Source organism: Homo sapiens, chromosome 17 (assembly GCF_000001405.40).
Source record: "Homo sapiens chromosome 17, GRCh38.p14 Primary Assembly".
Lineage (NCBI taxonomy): Eukaryota > Metazoa > Chordata > Mammalia > Primates > Hominidae > Homo > Homo sapiens.
In genome coordinates this window covers 17,382,316-17,401,912 of record NC_000017.11, presented here as the reverse complement: position 1 = coordinate 17,401,912, position 19,597 = coordinate 17,382,316, and the positions used below count along the sequence as shown (strand labels likewise).

Here is a 19,597-nt window from a genome sequence, read left to right as displayed (position 1 = left end):
TGGAATTGCTGGGCCATATGGTGACTCTAGGTTTAACTTGTGAAGAACATTTTTAAACATGTTCCGTGTGGGTGCATATTTTCTCTTTAACTAGAGAGCAGGGCTCTCTTGTTCTTTGGCCCCCTCCATCGTGGCCAGTCCTGGCTCAGCGTGCAGACAAGAGGCCCCCTGAGCTGTGGTGGCACCAGAGGAGTGAGTGTGTGGACCTCACTCCACCCCAAGTGCTGGGATGTTGACTCATGGTCTTGCCAGGCACTCACGTGACTGCTGGTGGGGACCCAGCCTACATATCCTCTGGGCCTTTCTTGGATGCCTCTCCACCTCTTGCTGCCCTCGGGTTCCCTCACTTCCCCCATTCACACTGGAGCTGACCTTGGTCTGATGTGTCTCCACAAGTCCCGCCTCCCCCACGGATGCCCTGTACAGCGGTACAGGCTGTGCACTGCCCAAGGGCATCCTGCCAAAGGCGCAGTGCTCATTGACATTCAGTCCATGCTCCGCTAGCCAAGCCCTGCAACCCTTGGGACTGCAGCCACCATTAGAGGGCGCTTTCTTCCTTCACACAACGCACCACATGGGCTAATGGCAGCCCCCAAGCCCTCGGTGGACCCAGCACTGACGGGATGTGCCCCTTGCTCACTCCCCTGGAAGGGGCAACTCTGCCCACTCTACATTCACTGATGACCTTCCTTCTCCCTGGGGACGTTCATACCCTCAACCTAGGCTCCAGATATTTTCTATGCCCCCTGAGGGGGTGGGTCCATGCCGCCAGTGGGGGTGCCCTGGTGGCCCACTGTAAAGGACTCTCTGCCCCTTACCCCATTCTCACTCCTGAGAGTTCTAGCACCAGATGCCCAGGACGTGCGTGTGTGCCTGCTCACTGGACAGAGGTTCCTGTGTAAACACTGCCATCGGGACCCCAGACACACGCTCCATGTGCACAGACATGCGCTCACGTGGGTGTGTGGGTTAGACATGACATACAGGGATCTGGCCTTCCCTTGCATTGAAACCTAGTTGGCGGGTTGGGAGGGTATGTGGTTAAATCCGAGCAAGAGACACAGACCCCATGAGTGTAATCACATGCCTAAACCAGGCCAGGAGACTCGGGCACACGATGTGGGTTTGTCTGCTATGTGGGCACTGGACTCTGGGAAGCCTGAGCCCCTTGGAGCCCCCGCTGGTGGGACAGGCTGGAGCTAGGAGCTTAGCAACTCGGGTTCCTGGAAGGTAGAGAAACATAAGAGCAAATCAGGAGACAAGAGGAGGCAAGGAAAGCTGGAGGGCAAAGAGGCCCCTGGAAGCCCCTCTAAGCCCAATTTCCCAGTGTTGACAACGAAAACAAAATCAAGCTTTCGAAGAACTAAAGTTCATTTCATTCAGGAGTCTGAGGACTCCAGACCACATCTACTGCCTCAGGGCAGTTCTGTTGAAGCCCACGGCTTACATACAGGTGGTGGAGGTTCAGCAAGTGCAAAATCACATCGGACTTGCTCAGAAGTTACGTTGAAGCAGCAGCCCATCAAGGTGTGGGTGTAAGAGCACCTCTGGTTATAGATGGCAGAGGCATCGTCATTAAGCCTGTCAGAAAGGCAAGGACTAGAGCTCTTCTCTTTTAAGGAATCAAGTGACTCAGGCAAGAGACGTGCGGGGCCGGGCGCTTCATCCTGCTTTGCCTTCAAAGCATCTTTCCAGAGAGCTGCACGTTGTCACAGAGTCAGGGGTTCAAGCAGAAATGAGCCAACGTGGCTTCTTACGCATGCTACTTCGTCTTACAGTGGGAAGAATAAAAATGCTTCATCCTCATCCCTGGGTGCTACAGCCTTTGCAGCCTCCTTGTCGGAGTGGGAATGGTCGTCAGCGGCAGGCACATCTGAGAGCAGGGCACACCCTGAGACAGGGCAGGATCGGAGCAACATAAGGGCACATCTTGAGGCCCTGACTGGGGCCCCAGGCTGGCTGCTTTTCTTCCCACCCTAGAGGGTATTTCTGTACCTCTCTACCACAAGGCGCTCGAGGAAGGCTTACTGAGAATGCTGCAGTGGAACAAAGTCTGAAGGAGGTGAGGGAGCAAGTTCTGTCTGTGTAGTGTGGAAAAGCATTGCAGGAGAGGGTACAGCCAATGCGAAGGCCCTGAGGCAGTACCGTGAGTGGCCAGAATGAAATGAGCAGGCAGCAAGGGGAGCAGGCATGCCACCAGGCCAGAGCACTCACGGGGGCTAGTGGGAGGACTCTGGCCTCATCCTGAGGGAGGTGGGAGCCCTGGAGGGTTTGTGGGGAGGAAGGAGGATGACTTTCAACAGCGTCCCTCTGACTGCTAGAAGGAAAACTAGCAGTGTGTGGGTGGGGGCAGGGGTGGGAGCGGGAGACCAGTGAGCCACCATTCAACTCTATGATCCACGCACAGCTGGGCTGGGCCGGAGCCCACAGGCTTAGGACCCAGCATCAGGCGGGGTAGTGGGCAGCCTGGAAGGGCTGAGAGTAGTGGGCAGGCTGGAAGGGGTGAGTCAGGGCCGCAGCAGGGAGTAGCAGTGAGGGACGTGGGCTCCAGCATTGGGCTTCAAGTCCCACAGAGTCCCAGCCAGCCTTGGGACCTGTGGGCAAGTTTGTGCATCTTCCTGGGTCTCCATTTTCCTATATAAAAAAATAAAAAATAAAAGAATGGCAGATAAAATATGGTGTCAGCCCCTAGGATCGGGTGGGTGGCTGTGTGCAGGTCTGCTTTTAATTTAAGGCAAATGTGTAACAGTGAGGGAAGTGAGGGCCAGACCTGGGTGGGGCCTGGCAGGGCCCAGGGCACAGCCTTTAAGGGCGGGCCTCAGAGCGAGGCTGTGCTTTTCTCTGCTCCAGGTTGCAAGCCTTTGGTCTCTTGAACCTTTCCTCCAGGTCCTCACCTCAAGTGCTCAAGGCATTTTTGTTGTCCTCCTCTCTGGAAACTGTGGGATGTACAAGAAGAAGAGCTTTGCTTATCCCCACACATTCTGTTCCCAATTTGAGCCCTGCCTGCTTGTTTTTCTTAAATAACACTTAGCGAAACCTTCCTTTTTATCTTGCCAACTTGAATTTATCTTGTGGTCCACTGAGACACTTGGATTTGGGGGTTTTGTTTTTCTGCTTCTGATTGCACCACTGGATTTCCAACTTCCTGTGTGCTTTGTGGCTCATGATCCCATTTGGACCGGCTGCTCCCCACTGCAGGGAGGGTGGCGGTGAGCTGGCCTGGCAGCCTCCCCAGGACCACATGGAGGGACAGAGGAGACGTTCTCTGAAGGAAGGGGGTGGTCTGTGGTGCCAACACCAGATCCTGGGCACAGAGGACACCATCCTTTTTTTCACAGTGTCTGAGGGGGACTCATCCCCTCCCCAAAGCCCACTTGACACTCTTCTTGGCAGGGCAGGGGGTTCATTTACCCTCTCTCAACCTCTGTTCCTTCTGGAAAAAGGAAAGAGCAGATTGCTGCCCCTGGCCTCTCTGAAGGGCTTTGTGCTGTCAAGTGTCCAAGTAGTTCGTGGAACAGCAGGACACTAAACACCAACCTGCGGCCTCACAATGATGATGATGATTGCCCCTAAAAGGGGGATAATCGCTGTGACCTACTTAGGGCACAGTTGTCACTAATGGCCTTGGAGAGCTGTGAAAATAGCAAGTGCCAAGGGGGAAGCCGAGGTGAATCTGGGCAGAGTGGTTGCTGCATATCTGTGTTTGCATCTCTGCTCCCTTTTTCCTGTGTCTTGGTCAAAGGCCTGAGCAGCATTTCTCAGGAGGAATGACCCAAAGGCCCCAGGCCCATCCTTGCAAAGACCACTGCTCTGTGCCTGGTCAGGGGGTTAGCAGCAGAAACCCATTCACTCAGGCATAAGCAAACGGGACATTTTTACAATATACAGTGTTTTGTGGTTCTGAACACAAGGGCAAGAATGAGGTCAGGCATCTCTCTGGTGGAAAAGTATCGCTGGGGATGGAACAGCCAATGCAAAGTCATTGAGGCAGGACCATGAGTGGTACCTTTTGGGAAGTGCTCTGGAAGGCCACGGAACCAGCGGCTGAAATGGAATCAGACCTCCAAGTTCCCTTTGTATGTTTCATCCCTCATTTTAAAAAATATTAAATGTGGCCAGGCGTGGTGGCTCACGCCTGTAATCCCAGCACTTTGGGAGGCCGAGGCAGGCAGATCACGAGGTCAAGAGATCGAGACCATCTTGGTCAACATGGTGAAACCCCGTCTCTACTAAAAATACAAAAATTAGCTGGGTGTGGTGGCACATGCCTGTAATCCCAACTATTTGGGTGGCTGAGGCAGGAGAATTTCTTGAACCCGGGAGGTAGAGATTGCAGTGAGCCAAGATTGCACCACTACACTCCAGCCTGGTGACAGAGCAAGAATCCATCTAAAAAAAAAAAATTAAATGCAACAATGAATATGCAACCAGGCATAGAAAATTATATAACACACAGCTTTGCACTCACCAACAAGCTTCATCTTCAGATCTGCTTCAATTCTCCACCAAGGATTCCAATACATGGTGCTCCTGGGTCCCTTTCCCAGCCAGTCTCTCCTCTCTTTGTATCCCCGGAAGTGGCCATTACTCTGATTCTGGCGTTTGCTCATCTCACAAAAGCTTTTGTGCTTTTACCACTACATACATATGTGCCCATAAGCATTAGTGCAAATAATGGAACTATGTGTTTGGAAACTTTTTATTGAGAGTTTCACTGTGGGTATTCTTCTTTTTTCTTGCTTCTTGATTTTTTTCATTTCACATTAGGTGCTAGGGACCTCTCCTAGCTGATTGAGGTAGTTCTTGGTCACTCATGTTCACTGCTGTTTGGGGTCAGTGGAATAACAATACCACAGTTTATCGAGTGTCTTGTGGATAGACGTTATCTTGACCCTAAGTTTTCACTGTGACTGTGTTGGTTTGAATTCCCCTGAAAGCAGAGCTGAGACAAAGGCTTGGGTGCAGGCAGTTGGTCTGGGAGGTGCTCTCAGGAAGCAAGACGGAGGAAGTAGGAGAATAAAAGTCTCACTATTATCTACTACCATGCACCAAATTACCCCATGAGCAGATGGCTTAAAGCAACAGTTATCTTTTATTTATCCCTTGTAGCTTCTGTGGGTCTTGGCTGGGTGGTTCCAGCTCAGCTTTCTTTGTGAGTTTGCTGTCAGTCATTGTCCAGGGCTGCCATCATCTGAAGGTTCGCCTGGGGCTGGAAGGTCTGTCTCCAAGCTCATCTGCATGGCTGTTAGTTGGAGGTTCAGTTCCTCTCAACAGGGTGCTTGAATGTCCTCACAACACGTCGGCTGGCATTCTCCAGGGCGAGAATCCAAAAGATGCAGGAGGGCACTGCAATGCCTTCGGTGACCCGGCCTTGGGAGTCACACACCATCACCTCCACCTTACTCCACTAGGTAAACAGACCACAGGCGTCACAGGGCATGAAGACTGGAGGTAAGGCTCATCAGAGGTCATCTCAGAAGCTGGCCACAACAGGGGAAGAGTCCAGAAACAACGCAGGGTGCCCAGCAAAGGTGTTCACTGCTGTTGGCACTGGCAGCTTGACCCCACCAAGGATTGTATGAAGCACTACGTAGAATGCATAGGATGGAGGTCAGAGACTCATCTACAGACTCACTTTCCCATCGGTTCAAGATTGCCCCTAAGAACATCAGCTCCCTCACAAACCCAGCCTGTACCTGCAGGGGCTGAGCAAGCCCAGAGGCAGAAGAGCAGAGGACAGCACAGGCAGGGTGGAGGCAGTGCCGCAGCACAGCACTGCTGGGCCAGGAGGGCTGGGGGGATGCGCCGTGGTGCACAAAGCCTCTGCCTTGTGGCAATGCTGTGGTGAGCGTTCACGCACAGGGCCCTGCATCCAGGAGCCCACATTTCTCTAGGAGGCATGGGCTAGGGCCCCTCCTGGCATTCACACCCTTGTGCAATCTCTCACCTTGTGTGTAGGCCAAACCTAGGGACTTGATTCAAATGAACTGAATACCACAAAAGCCATGGGATGTCTTCTCTTTTTTTTTTTTTTTTTTTTTGAGACGGTCTCACTCTGTTGCTTAGGCCGGGTGTGCAGTGTGCAATCTCAGCTCACTGCAGCCTCAACCTCCCAGGATCAAGTGATCCTCTTGCCTTAACCTTCTGAGTAGCTGGGACTATAGGCGTGTGCACCCACACCCCCCTAATTTTTTTCATTTTTTTTTTTTTGGTAGAGATGGGGTCTGGCTAAGTTGCCCAGGCTGATCTCAAACTCTTGGCCTTAAGAATCTTCTGGCCTCAGCTTCCAAACGGGCTGGAATTATAGGCTTGAGCCACTGCCCTGGGCTGGGATGTCATTTCTGAGGTTAGTTCACAAGTGATTGTGACTCCCCTCTCAACTGGACTCCCCCCACCCAGCACCGCCTTACTTACTCTGGCAAAGCCACTGCCGTGTTGTAAGCTGCCCTCTGGAGAGACCCACTTGGCAAAGGACTGAGGGAGGCCTCTGGCCCCCTGCCTGGGAGGAGCTGAGTCCTACTGACAACCGCCTGAATGAGCTCAGGAGCAGCTCTGCCCTCAGCTGAGCCATCAGATGAGACGGGCCCAGATTCTTGATCCACAGGAACTGGTATTTTGCTAAACTACTAAGATGCTAAAAGTTGGGGTACTTTTTAAACTAAATAACACAGGAAGGGTGGAAGTGGGAGAAGGTGCACATGACGCAAGATTGCCCGTGGGTTGACAATTGTTGCAACTGGGTGACATGTTATACTATTCTTGCTACTTTGTGTTTATTCAAAATTTCCATGATAAAAAGTAAAAATAAATTTTTTAAATACTGAAGTCTGATTTACAATTCAGTGAAGTTTGGTTTCTGTCAGGGTACATTTTAGTTAGTTCACTTTAGTTCAAACTACCCGGGTGCAGGTCCCAACTCATTCATCCATTAAACACATATTGGGCACCTACTATGTGCCAGGTGATGTTCTGGCCACCGGGGAAATGACAGTGAACAAACCATGCAAAAGTCTCTGCCCTTTCAGAGCCAATGTTTTGCTGGAAAGAGGCAGATATCCAATACATAACCATGTAAGATAGATGGAGAATACGTCAGGGAGTCCTGGCCGCAGGAGGTCAGTGGGTGGGAGGGCTGCGATCTCCAACAGGAAGGCCAGGGAAGGCCGAAAGGAAAAGCTGCCTGTGGGGAGAGACCTGGTGGCTGCAGGGAGGTGGCTGCGGGTCACCTACTTCCATGGGAAGCCAGCTCCAGTCAGATACAGGGATGGCGGCCCCAACGCGGGAGGATCCAGGGCTATCTGAGGAACAAGAATAGGCAGTGTGGTGGGGGGTAGGCTTAGGGGGAATCGGGTGAGGGTGGGGGACTGATTAAGCAGAGCCATGTGAGCCATGGAAAGGATTTCAGCTTCTACCTGGAGTGACGTGGGAGCCACAGGCAGAGTTTGAGCAGAGAAGGGGCTCTGGCCAGCATTCCTACTGGTAAGTGTTCCACCCCCGAAGCCCTGTGAAACTTAGGCAGGTGACTTTGCCTTCTGAGCCTCAGTTTCCTTGTCTGAAAATGGGAATCGCTTCCTCAAAGCATTGTTATGGAGGTTTGCTAAGTGAAACAAAGTTTTGTCCAAAGGTTCAGCGCACCCAGCAACAGGCCTTACTTGGTGTGAGCTGTGATTTTTCTCTTTCCGTCACGCCTACTGCCTGCCCATGGGAGCTCCCGGGCTGCTCCCAAACTTCCCTCGGGAGCTGGGGAGCCTTTTCTGCCGGGGGCTGAGGCCCATCCCTGTGGCCCTTGCCCAACGGGCACAAGGAGCTCGTTTCTGTGTTATTAGCTGTGAAAAGGAGGATACCCCCTACCAAGTGTGGCCCTCTCACGCCAGAAAGAGGGAGGAAAGACAGGTCAGAGTTCTTTCCCCGACGTCAGGTTGAGGGCTTAAAAGACAAGATCTGGGGGCTTCGTTTTCCCTTTGTGGAGGCTGGAGGGGAGGGAGAGTTGGAAGGAGACATGAACTCAGAGAAGAGGAAAATTAGAAAAGTAAGACATTGAACTTCCGCTCCATGAGCTTCAGGTAAGCCCTGCTTACCTACCTCCTTATCACCTGCCTATCCAATCATCCACCTGTCTGAGGACCAGTGATGTTATTCTGTTGGCTTGTCTTTTGTGTGTTTTGTTGTCACTGTTGTTTTCGTTTGTTTTTTGTTTTGAGACGGAGTCTCACTTTATCGCTAGGCGGGAGTCCAATGGCATGATCTCGGCTCACTGCAACCTCCACCTCCTGGGTTCAAGCAATTCTCCTGCCTCAGCCTCCTCAGTAGGTGGGACTACAGGCGCACGTCACCACACCCAGCTAATTTTTGTATTTTTAGCAGAGACACGGTTTCACCCTGTTGGCTGGGCTGGTCTCGATCTCTTGATCTGCCTGCCTCAGCCTCCCAAAGTGCTGGATTACAGGCATGAGCCACTGCGCCCGGCCTGTTGTGTGTTTTTTGAATTTTTTTTTATTTTTTATTTTTTGAATGAGCTACTGTCCTGACTGGGATTCTCCCAAAAACTGATCTTGAGACAGGATGTAAGTGCAAGCACTTGATTCATAAGGTGGTCCAGGAAACACTGGTATGGGAGGAAGGGAGATGGGAGGAGCAACCAAGGAGGGGCAAGTTACTGACATAGACACCTCTGGGGCAGCTGGAGCTCCATCTGCCCAGGAAAGCCAGGGCTCAGATCAGTCCCTCTGTGCTGGAGCGAGGGAGCTGGCACACTTACCCCAACTCACGTCAAAGAATAGCTGGCCCCAGACAGACGATGCCAAAGGCAGGGCCCTGCCTACGCAGGCCATGAAGGGACAAGTTGTCTGTAGATAATTGTTTCATTCTTTTAAAAAATTTTATTTATGCCAGGCTCACACCTGTAATCCCAGCACTTTGGGAGGCCGAGGTGGGTGAATCACCTGAGGTCAGGAGTTCGAGACCAGCCTGGTCAACATGGTGAAAACTTCTCTACTAAAAATACAAAAATTAGCCAGGCGCTTGTAACCCCAGCTACTCAGGAAGCTGGGGCAGGAGAATTGCTTGAACCTGATGGAAGAGGTTGCAGTGAGCCAAGATCATGCCACTGCACTCCAGCCTGGGGGACAGTGTGAAACTCTGCCTCAACAATATATATTTTAAAAGTTGGGGGTCGTCACTCTTGCCTAACATGGAGTGCAATGACATGATCACAGCTCTTCATAGCTTTTAACTCCTGGTCTCAAGCCATTTTCCCACCTCAGCCTCCAAAAAAGCTGGGACACAGGCACACATTACCACATCTGGATTTTTTAATTTTTTGCAGAGACAGGGTCTCACTATGTTGCCCAGACTGGACTCAAACTCCTGGCCTTAAGCAATCCTTCCAACTTGACTTCCCAAAGTGCTCTGAGATTACAGGCCTGAGCCACCACACCCACACTCTGGAGAGAATTCTACAATAATATTGGGTCTGGAATTTGCTCCTTCCAGTGGGTTCTTGGTCTCGCTACCTTCCAGAATGAAGCCACAGACCCTCGCGGTGAGTGTTACAGTTCCTAAAGATGGCATGTCCGGAATTTGTTCCTTCAGATGTTCAGATGTGTTCGGAGTTTCTTCCTTGTGGTGGGTTCGTGGTCTCGCTGACTTCAGGGGTGAAGCCACAAACCTTCGCAGTCAGTGTTCCGGCTCTTAAAGGTAGCGCAACCAAAGTTGCTCATTCCTCCTGGTGGGTTCGTGGTCTCGCTGGTTTCAGAAGTGAAGCTGCAGACCTGCACAGTGAGCGTTATAGCTCTTAAAAATGGCACGTCCAGACCTGTTCGTTCCTCCTGGTGGGTTCGTGGTTTCGTTGGCTTCAGGAGTGAAGCTGCAGAGCTCCGCGATGAGTGTTACAGCTCTATAAAGGTGGCGGGTCTGGAGTTGTTCACTCCTCCTGGTGGACTCACCGTCTCGCTGACTTCATCCAGGTGTGAAGCTGCAGACTTTGCCATGGGTGTCTTACAATCAGGGCAGACCCAAACAGCCAACAGCAACAAGATTGCAAACAGCAAAAAAAAAAAAAAACAAGCATCACACAGAAGCATACTGAACAGGTTACCACTGGCGGCACATGGTGGCCAGCTTTTATTCCCTTATTTGACCCCGCCCACATCCTGCTGATTGGTCCATTTCACAGGGCGCTGATTGGTCCATTTTACACAGTGCTGATTGGTCCATTTTACACAGTGCTAATCGGTGTGTTTACAAACCTTTAGCTAGACACAGAGCGCAGATTGGTGCATTTACAATCCTTTAGCTAGACAGAAAAGTTCTCCAAGTCCCCACTCCACCCAGAAGCCCAACCGGCTTCACCTCTCAATATGACCAACTATAAATCAGTGTTTTTATTATTACCATGCACAGACAATTCTAAACATCATCAGAGATGTTTTCCAGGTTCCTAGATCTTTTGTTCATTCAAGTTCCAGAATATTTCCAGGGTTAACTGTTGAGTTTTAATGATATATGTGAAGCTCCAAGTTCACACTTTTTATTATTCATTCTTTAATAAACTTTATATTGTACATGTAGAAGTTAGTTCTGCAAACTCCCACCCGGTTCAGCCCTGACATGCATATTTAGCTACAAGCGTCTGTTTCGAGAGTGAATTCCTAATGCTCCAGGACCTCTCCAGCTCATTCAGGTGCAGTTTCCGTCTCTAAACCTCTGGGTCTCATGTTCTTAGGTCCCAGCAGGATACTCAGAATAAGCAGCTACAGCCCAGAGGCTGTGAGGGCGAAAAGACAGAGCTTGAGTTACTTTCATCAGCACTTAGAGTTTTCGTTTTCACTTGGAGTTTCCATTTTCACTCAATATTTCTCTACGGTGAAGGCAATCAAAAACTGCTAGAACTGATCCCAGAGAAATAAAGACCTCGACAATGTTGCCCATTCTGGAATGTACTGTGAAATGGGATTTTTAAAAATCTCTGAGAGGCCGGGTGCAGTGGCTCATGCCTGTAATCCCAGCACTTTGGGAGGCGGAGGCTGGCTGATCATGAGGTCAAGAGTTCAAGACCAGCCTGAGCAACATGGAGAAACCTAGTCTCTACTAAAAATACAAAATTAGCCAGGCGTGGTGGCACATGCTTGTAATCCCAGCTACTCGGGAGGCTGAGGCAGGAGAATCGCTTGAACCCGGGAGGCAGAGGTTGCGGTGAGCCAAGACTGCACCACTGTACCCCAGCCTGGGCAACAAGAGCGAAACTCCGTCTCGAAAAAAGAAAGAACTCTACCAAAGTTATACTTACGTTGAAGACGTTTTCTAACATTTTGTACCCATTGCTTCATCAAAAAGAAACTTTACAAAATTGAAGTTAATAAACAATGCTCATCCATTCCCTAGGAGAGAATATGAGCTGACTATTCAGCCCACTGTGTTGAAGCCTGGCTATTCAACACAAGTCCATGAGGAAGACCAATGTTGACAAAATCACTTGACACAACTGCAGAAAAGAAAGCTGAAAATAGAAACCATAATGTCATTATCCATTATCGTGACTGATCAACATGAAGGAAAGTTTTTATCACTTTTCTGATGCCATTTTTCCTCATCATGATTTCATACAGAAAGGTCATTGCAAGCAAATTCTCATCTGCATTTCCTTTTTTTTTTTTTGGAGACAGAGTTTTGCTCTTGTTGCCCAGGCTGCAATGCAGTGGCACACTCTCAGCCTACTGCAACCTCTGCCTCCTGCGTTCAAGCAATTCTCCTGCCTCAGCCTCCCAAGTAGCTGGGATTACAGGCGCCCGCCACCACACTCAGCTAATTTTTGTAATTTTAGTAGACACGGGGTTTCACCATGTTGTCCAGGCTGGTCTCGAACTCCTCACCTCAAGTGATCCACCTGCCTTGGCCTCCCAAAGTGCTTGGATTACAGGCGTGAGCCACTGCACCTGGTCTTGCATTCCTTTTTTAGCTATTAATATTATTCCTTTTGTTTCATGATTAGTATTGAATGTAATTTTGTCATGTAGAGAAGGGAAGTGTTAAAAAATGATCTGTCCCTGTGTGGAATACGCCAGGCATGTCACTGTTTCAGGAGAGTATTCCCCAGCCCTTCCTGGCTGTGGGTGCCAGTGGTCAGAGCAGGTCTGTGGGCCAAAAAGTGCAGATATGGTTGGAGCTGAGCTTGCATGCTCAGAAATGGGAAGAGTCACAGGTAGCGTTGCCAGAGATAAAGAGAGAAAATAAACACACACACACACACACACGCATAGGCACACAGGGCCTTCATAAATTAATAATTTATTAATTTTATTATTAAATTTCAATATTGAATAAACAATAAATAAAATTTTCAGATAAGCGTGTCCCATGCAATATTTAGTATGTATTTATACTAAAAAAAAATCCAAATTTAGGCTGGGTGCCGTGGCTCACACCTGTAATCCCAGGGCTTTGGGGGATCAGTGCAAGAGGATCTCATGAGCCCAAGAGCACGAGGTTACAGTGACCTATGAAAGTAAATTAATAAATATCCCTAATCAGAGTTCACTGGCAACCTGTACAATCTGTATTTTTTAGTTGGGGTCTTGCTGTGTTGCCCAGGCTGGAGTGCAGTGGTGGGATCATGGCTCACTTGATCTGCATTTCATCTGGCAATCCTCGTGGTGGGGACACGGGCAGGGCAGTGACTGCCAACGCTGCACTACCTCCACTTAACATTCAGGAGTTTTCACAGGAGAAGTCCGAATCTCCATGGTCACCCGAGAGAGCAGTTTGTGGTATGGCAAGCCACATTCCTGCAGCTCTTGGCTGGAGCTGAGACAAGGCTGCGGCTCAGGAGGGCCTGAGCCTCTGCAGACCACAGCTGCTTCCCCAGCGCCTGCCATCAGGGGAGGACGGGGTGACCACAGCAACGTCAGGAGGAGTGGAACTCACCTGACCACTTACCACGTGCCAGGCACCACGGGACATGCCTGACACGGGAAGGCATCCTTAACCACTCATCTCTGTGGTTCAAATGTGCTATTCTCCTACCCATTCTACAGATGAGGAAACTGAGGTTCTGAGAGGTTAAGTGACTTCCCTGAGAGCACACAGTGAGTGGTGGGGCTGGGAGTCAAGCCCGCAGCTGTCAGACCCTGGAGCGAGGCCAGAGGAGGAAGGAGAGGGATGGGAGAGACCGGGCAGGGGGTGGGCTGCAAGGCTCCAGGACCCCCGTTAGAATCCAGGAAGCACAGGAAGCCATTGTCTCCCCTAAGGCTGTGATTTTTTCCAGCCCTTCCATACCCCTGTGGGTCTCATGGCCCCCACTCCGTTGGCCATCTCCCCTAAATCCCCGAGGCCTTAGGGTCTTGATGTCAGTTCCAAGGGGCTGGTGTGAAAGGCCTTGAGGTACAGCCAGGTCTCAGAGGATTCCAGAAGCCCCCAAACCTTCCAGTCCAAAGGAGGTGCTCTGAAAGCGCAGGGGGGCAGCCCGAGGCCACATGTCCCGAGGCCACACACACTGCTGGGCTCCCCTGACAGCCTCTGCCCCGCCAGTCTGAGGTGTGGAGGATGTCTGGATAAGGCACCAAGGCCATTGGGCAGAAGTCACCATGCCAATCCCCACAGACGTCAGCCAGCCACTAGGGGCTCACCCTTCAGGTGAACACCTGCGGGTGCCAGGCCTGTGCGCAGCCAGGAGGGAGCCCACAGGTGGGAAGAGGTAGTGCAGGCTCCTAGCAAGACAGGAAAGCTGCGGAGTCTGAATGACAGCTGCGAAGGAGGCCGAGAGCCAGAGGCCTCAAGCCTGCTCCTGGAGCTGCTCTCTGCTCACACACAGCAGCTAAGGCCAAGCAGGAGCTCAAGGGGCCTGGTCCCTCTCCCACCAGAATCCCCCAGAGAGCAGGGCAGTCTGGCTTTCCAGCGGGGCTTGGGCAACAACTTCCTCCCAGGGAACTCACATTCTCACACGGCAGTCCCTTCTGGAGCCCAGAGCCAGCCGGTCCAAGCATGCACAGTCCAGCTCTCCCTCAGCTGGCCCTTTGACCTTGAGACCCATGAACCCTGTTCGCCCTGCTGCACTGCCTTCCAGAGGTAGAATTCTTGGATTCCAGCTTACCCACACACTGTTCAACCCAGCCCCTGATGTCACAGACGAAGAACTGGAAACTCAGAGAGGTTAGGGGGTTTCCCAAACCCACACAGTGGACCAGGGTCCAGACTGGGCTTCCCGCCAACCAAGGACCATTTGGTTTGTAGCAAAATGCTAGTGACACGTAAGTCCTGGATGGAATTCTGTCTCCCTGACAGGGGGCTTCCTAGCAGTGCCACTCTCCTCTCCTCTCCATCTTGCCACCCGACCAGTCACGCTGAGCTCAGGACTTGGGGATGACTCATACCCACTGTCTTGCAACACCTTTACCTGAAACATCCCCACTCCCACCTTGCCTTAGCTCCAGCCCAGCCATAAAACACAAGAGGCCCCTTTCATGAGAGGGTCACCTGCCTACTGTCCCTTGCAGACCGGGGAGCTCCCTGATCAGTGTTTCCTGTATCCTCAGTGGCATCCTCTCATTCAGTATGCAGTAGGAGCATAATAGCATTGAGTGAATGAATGAAATAGGATCTAAAGTCACTTTTGGTGGGAGTGGTCAGAGAAGGCGCTGGGGAGGGTGTGGCCTTGGAGCCAGGTGTGAATCATAGGTAGGATTTTAATAGCCGAGAGCAGAGAGGAGGGCATGTCAGGTGACGCACAGGTGAGCAAAGCCCCAGCGCGGGAGAGCATAGGTGTTGCCAGGGAAATGGCACCCAGGGGAGGGCTTACTCGATTAGATGATGTCTATCAGGCTTCTCCAGTGCAAAGGTACTATTTTCCCCTTTGTCATGAATAAGTATTTTTGAGATTATGCCATTATTCCATTGCTCAGCACATGTTCAATTGATTCATTCATTTGCTTATATCTGCAAGGACTTATGCTTTCCTATTCCTTCTTTGGGTTACAGTCTGTTATTACGATTGTTTATGTTGATGCTCACAGCATCCCAATTTTGCCAATTCAGGGTGGCTTCTGGATATCTGTGACACGTCCCAACCCTTCTTTGAGGCCACCTGATTTCATGGTGCAACACAGGATTCCAGACGCTTCCTCCAAGGAGCCTGATGGAGGACAGCATGACAGGCCAAGATCTGGGCGGGCACTGTGCTCATGGCTGCTGGGGGGACGCTGCTTGTGGCCCTCTCAGCGAGCAGAGCCACCTACCCACACATGTGTTTTTGTATCCACCTATGTGTGTGAGTTCAACCCAGGCCTCCCACACCAAGTGAGCACCTGAGAATTCATCTGGTTTATCCTTTTCTGACTTGGCGACGCCACCCACAATGAGTGCTCTCATTCCTGGCACCCTCACTAATAATACTTTACCTGTTATTGGGCCCTGAATGGCACCATCTTGGGCTCAGCTGCTGCCCCTCCCTGCACAGACCCCCAGGCCTGGCTGTCCTGCCGCATCCCTGGGCCTGTCCACCCAAGGCACTTGGCCGGGTCCCTGGAGGAGCAAGCTGTGTTCCGTTTCTGCAGCTGCCATGGAATGCTGGGAACAAAACGTCCCCAGGGGAGTTCCGCTTTGGGTGGTGAGTTTGGTCTTCCAGGCAGATCAACAGAGGACGGCGATGCTCCCATCCTGTGACCAAACAAGGGTATTAATTGCGGAGAAGACTCTCTTATTAACTCCTGCCATCCATGGGATACGCAAGCTGTGCAGACGAATCTCTCTTCTCTCTTCTCTCTCTCTCTCTCTCAAAAAGCAAACACCCCTCAGGGGTGGTAATTCTTTAAATGAGGAGAGGAAATGAAGGAGGTGCCAGGCTCCTCCCTTGGCTGTGGGTGGAGAGTCAGCTCTACCCTGGGCCTTCCCCAGGGGGTGCTGAGATAGAGACTGGGGGCTGACTGCTGGAGGGGGGCTGGAGCCCCCCAGACTCTTCGCCTACTTGCCCAGCTCTGCTACTGCCTCCTGGCGAGGACTTAGGCATTGCCACCATTTGGCCTCTCCGCATCTGAACATGAGGGTGTTGAGCCCCTCAGAGCTCCCCTGTGACTGCTCATATTATTTTGGACACAAAGATGAGTCCCGCTCTTTCCCTGACACGGCCGGCTCGACTCCGCCACGCCAGAGTCTTTGAGGTCCTTGAGGTCAGAGGGCTTGGGGACTGCCAGCTGCTGTCTGAATGGCTTCTCTGAGAGCAGTTGTCCCCTCTGTGAGATGTGCCAGCTGTTAGGCTGTTGTGCGGATGAGCTGAGATAATGCGGATAGAAGCGCCCAGCATATGCTGACACAGGGATTATCAGCGTTCAACAAATGGAAGCCAGGATCATTTGAAACCCAGCCAGATGCTATAGGAGTCCATTTGGATGCAATGTCCAGAATAGACAAATCCGTGGGGACAAAAAGCAGATTGACGGTTGCCAGGGGCTGCAGAGGGGGGATGGTTAAAACGATACATTTCATGTGGCGTGTATTTTACCTCAATTCAAAAAAGAAAAATCCAGCCAGAGACAGAACGGCATGGTCCCCAGGAATCAATCTTTGTGGACTGAGAGGATGCTGAGGTCAGAGTGTCAATTCTCTAAATGGTTTTCAGCCATGTGTGAGGCTAACTGTCAGGGGCTCCTCTCGGCCTAGGGTGGGGACACACATCATCCTCTCTTCCTTACCTTGCTGGCAGGGCCAGGCCTTGCAGTGTCTTCCCAACACACGTCCACACCTGAGTTCATTCAGACCTCCACTCCTGCACAGCCTGCACCCTCTCCAAAGCAGGGAGGGTGAGGAGGGGGTGCAGTGCAACGCTCAGGCTCCGATGCAGGTTGCGGGTGCTGGTCGCTGCCCTGCCTGAGCCCTGAGCAGGCTGAGAGCCCCTCTCTCCGCACTGGTGTTTCCAGTGCTAAAGTGGGAAATGGACGGATGTTTTCCAAAGTCACTTCTTGCACCTGAGTTCACCCAGGGCCCATGGGTGGCTCAGGCCTAATGACCCACTCCCCATGTACAGGGCATTAGTGCTGTTCTAGAATGTGCCCACCCACAGCTTCGTGGGCTGGGACCTGTGCAGGGAGAAGGGCCCCTGCTATCCCTACCTTCAAAATCTTTTACATTTTTGAACAAGAGGCCCTACAGTGTCATTCTGCACCAGGCCCTGGAAATTATGTAGCTGGGCCTTGGGGACCTTCTCAATGAGGACAAGTACTGTGTCCCCAGCCTGTGAACAGTACCTTGCCCACAGCACAGGTTGGGTGTGTGTGGACTGGATAATAAACTTTCAGGTTCACTGCGAGGGGTGCCTCCCCACTGGTGCTCCCAGGGCCTGGCCTTCCTGGTGACCCCATGGACCATGGGAGGGAGGTGAGGTGAGGTATGGATGCTGCCCGGGCTCCTGATGCCCTTAGCATGGGAGGTAAGGCAGGGTCCCGAGAACTGGGCATCGAGGTGTTCCCCTGCCACTTGCAAAGCCCTCTAGCCTGGCTGCATGTGGGATTCAGCCAGGAGGAGTGCTGGAACCCGGTCCCCAGAAGGGACCGTGCAGGGTCAACCTCAGAGGACTGCCCTGCTGGAGGAAGGTGCCCCAGGAGGTCCGGGATGAAGGAGAAGGAAGCTCAGTAAAGAGCCCAGGTAGCCCCAAGAAGATGACCAGGTGTGGGAGGGAGGCTTGGCTTGGCAGGGGAGCGACTGTGAAAGTTTAGTGACGCTGGTTTTATCTTGCTCTAGTTTCTCTAAGACACCCACGGGCGTTGCAAAACCATCTTCCACTCAATCATCCATGTCTTCAGCTACAACCCCAAGAGTGCTCGAAAGCAACCCACGGTGTGGCAGTTCCTCAAGAGGTTACAGGCCTTTCCGCTCGGCTGTTTTCCTGCTCAGGAGCCGCAGGGCCGTAGGCAGCCATGACGCCCAGCCGGAATGGCATGGTCTTGAAGCCCCACTTCCACAAGGACTGGCAGCGGCGCGTGGCCACGTGGTTCAACCAGCCGGCCCGGAAGATCCGCAGACGTAAGGCCCGGCAAGCCAAGGCGCGCCGCATCGCCCCGCGCCCCGCGTCGGGGCCCATCCGGCCCATCGTGTGCTGCCCCACGGTTCGGTACCACACGAAGGTGCGCGCCGGCCGCGGCTTCAATCTGGAGGAGCTCAGGGTGGCCGGCATTCACAAGAAGGTGGCCCGGACCATCGGCATTTCTGTGGATCCGAGGAGGCGGAACAAGTCCACGGAGTCCCTGCAGGCGAACGTGCAGCGGCTGAAGGAGTACCGCTCCAAACTCATCCTCTTCCCCAGGAAGCCCTCGGCCCCCAAGAAGGGAGACAGTTCTGCTGAAGAACTGAAACTGGCCACCCAGCTGACCGGACCGGTCATGCCCATCCGGAATGTCTATAAGAAGGAGAAAGCTCGAGTGATCACTGAGGAAGAGAAGAATTTCAAAGCCTTCGCTAGTCTCCGTATGGCCCGTGCCAACGCCCGGCTCTTCGGCATACGGGCAAAAAGAGCCAAGGAAGCCGCAGAACAGGATGTTGAAAAGAAAAAATAAAGCCCTCCTGGGGACTTGGAATAAAAAAAAAAAAAAAAAAAAAAAAAAAAGGAGGTTACATACAGCTTTCCATCTGGCCCAACAACCCTACTTCTGGGTACATGCCCAGAAGAATTAAAGACAGGTATTCAAACCAAAACTTGCACACAGATGTCCATAGCAGCATTAATCACATTCACTAAAAGGTGGAAATAACCCAATGTCCATCAAAAGACGAAGGGATAAACACAATGGTGTGTATCTAGGCAACGGAACATTAATCAAAAAAAGGAAGTTCTGGTACATGCTACAACATGGGCACCATATGGATGGATCTGGGAAACACAATGCATGGTGAAAAAAGTCGGTAGATTCCATTGATAGAAAATGTCCAGGAAAAGGGGCCGGGCACGGTGGCTCACACGTGTAATCCCAGCACTTTGGGAGGCTGAGGCGGGTGGATCACTTGAGGTCAGGAGTTTGAGACCAGCCTGACCTGTAACATGGTGAAACCCTGTCTCTACTAAAAATACAAAAATTAGCGAGGCATGATGGTGTGTGCCTGTAATCCCAGCTACCTGGGAGGCTGAGGCATGAGAATTGCTTGAACCTTGGAGGCAGATGCTGCAGTGAGCCAAGATCGAGCTGCTGCACTCCAGCCTGGGCAACAGAGCAAGACTCTGTCTCAAAAAAAGAAAAAAAAAAAAAGTCCAGGAAAGGCAAATCCACAGAGATCAGCCATACCAAGCTTCATCACTTAACTTGCTGTGTGACTTTAGGCAAATCATTGAATCTCTCTGTGCCTACAAAATAGATATGCTGATAATAAAGCTATTTTGGGGGCTTGTTGAAAGAATTAAATGAGCTAATACTTGCAGAGCACTCAGAGACATGCCGGTTCATGGAAAGTCTCCTGTGAGTGTTGGCACTTTTCATTTTTAACTAGATTTTCAGGAAAAGCTTCACTGAGACGACATCAGACCTTGGACCTTGCAAGACAAATAGGTAGGGAGAGGGGCTCATGTTAGCCATGATCCACTGCAGACCAAGTTCTGGCCAGGGCTTCTACAGCCTTCCTCTTG

At 51.6% G+C, this 19,597-nt stretch overlaps 1 pseudogene, besides 2 other annotated features; it reads left to right on the top strand.

Moving 5' to 3' along the window:
- Positions 9,649–9,878: an enhancer, noted in NCBI's record as "active region_11799". NCBI's record gives its function as "activates an Ori minimal core promoter by ATAC-STARR-seq in GM12878 lymphoblastoid cells {active_cell/tissue: GM12878}" and the evidence as "EXISTENCE:reporter gene assay evidence [ECO:0000049][PMID:35858748]".
- Positions 13,441–13,941: an enhancer, noted in NCBI's record as "H3K4me1 hESC enhancer chr17:17291286-17291786 (GRCh37/hg19 assembly coordinates)". NCBI's record gives its function as "activates a minimal SCP1, AML or CMV promoter by ChIP-STARR-seq in primed H9 embryonic stem cells {active_cell/tissue: H9 hESC(primed)}" and the evidence as "EXISTENCE:reporter gene assay evidence [ECO:0000049][PMID:30033119]".
- On the top strand, positions 17,850–18,558 carry RPL13P12 (ribosomal protein L13 pseudogene 12; annotated as a pseudogene).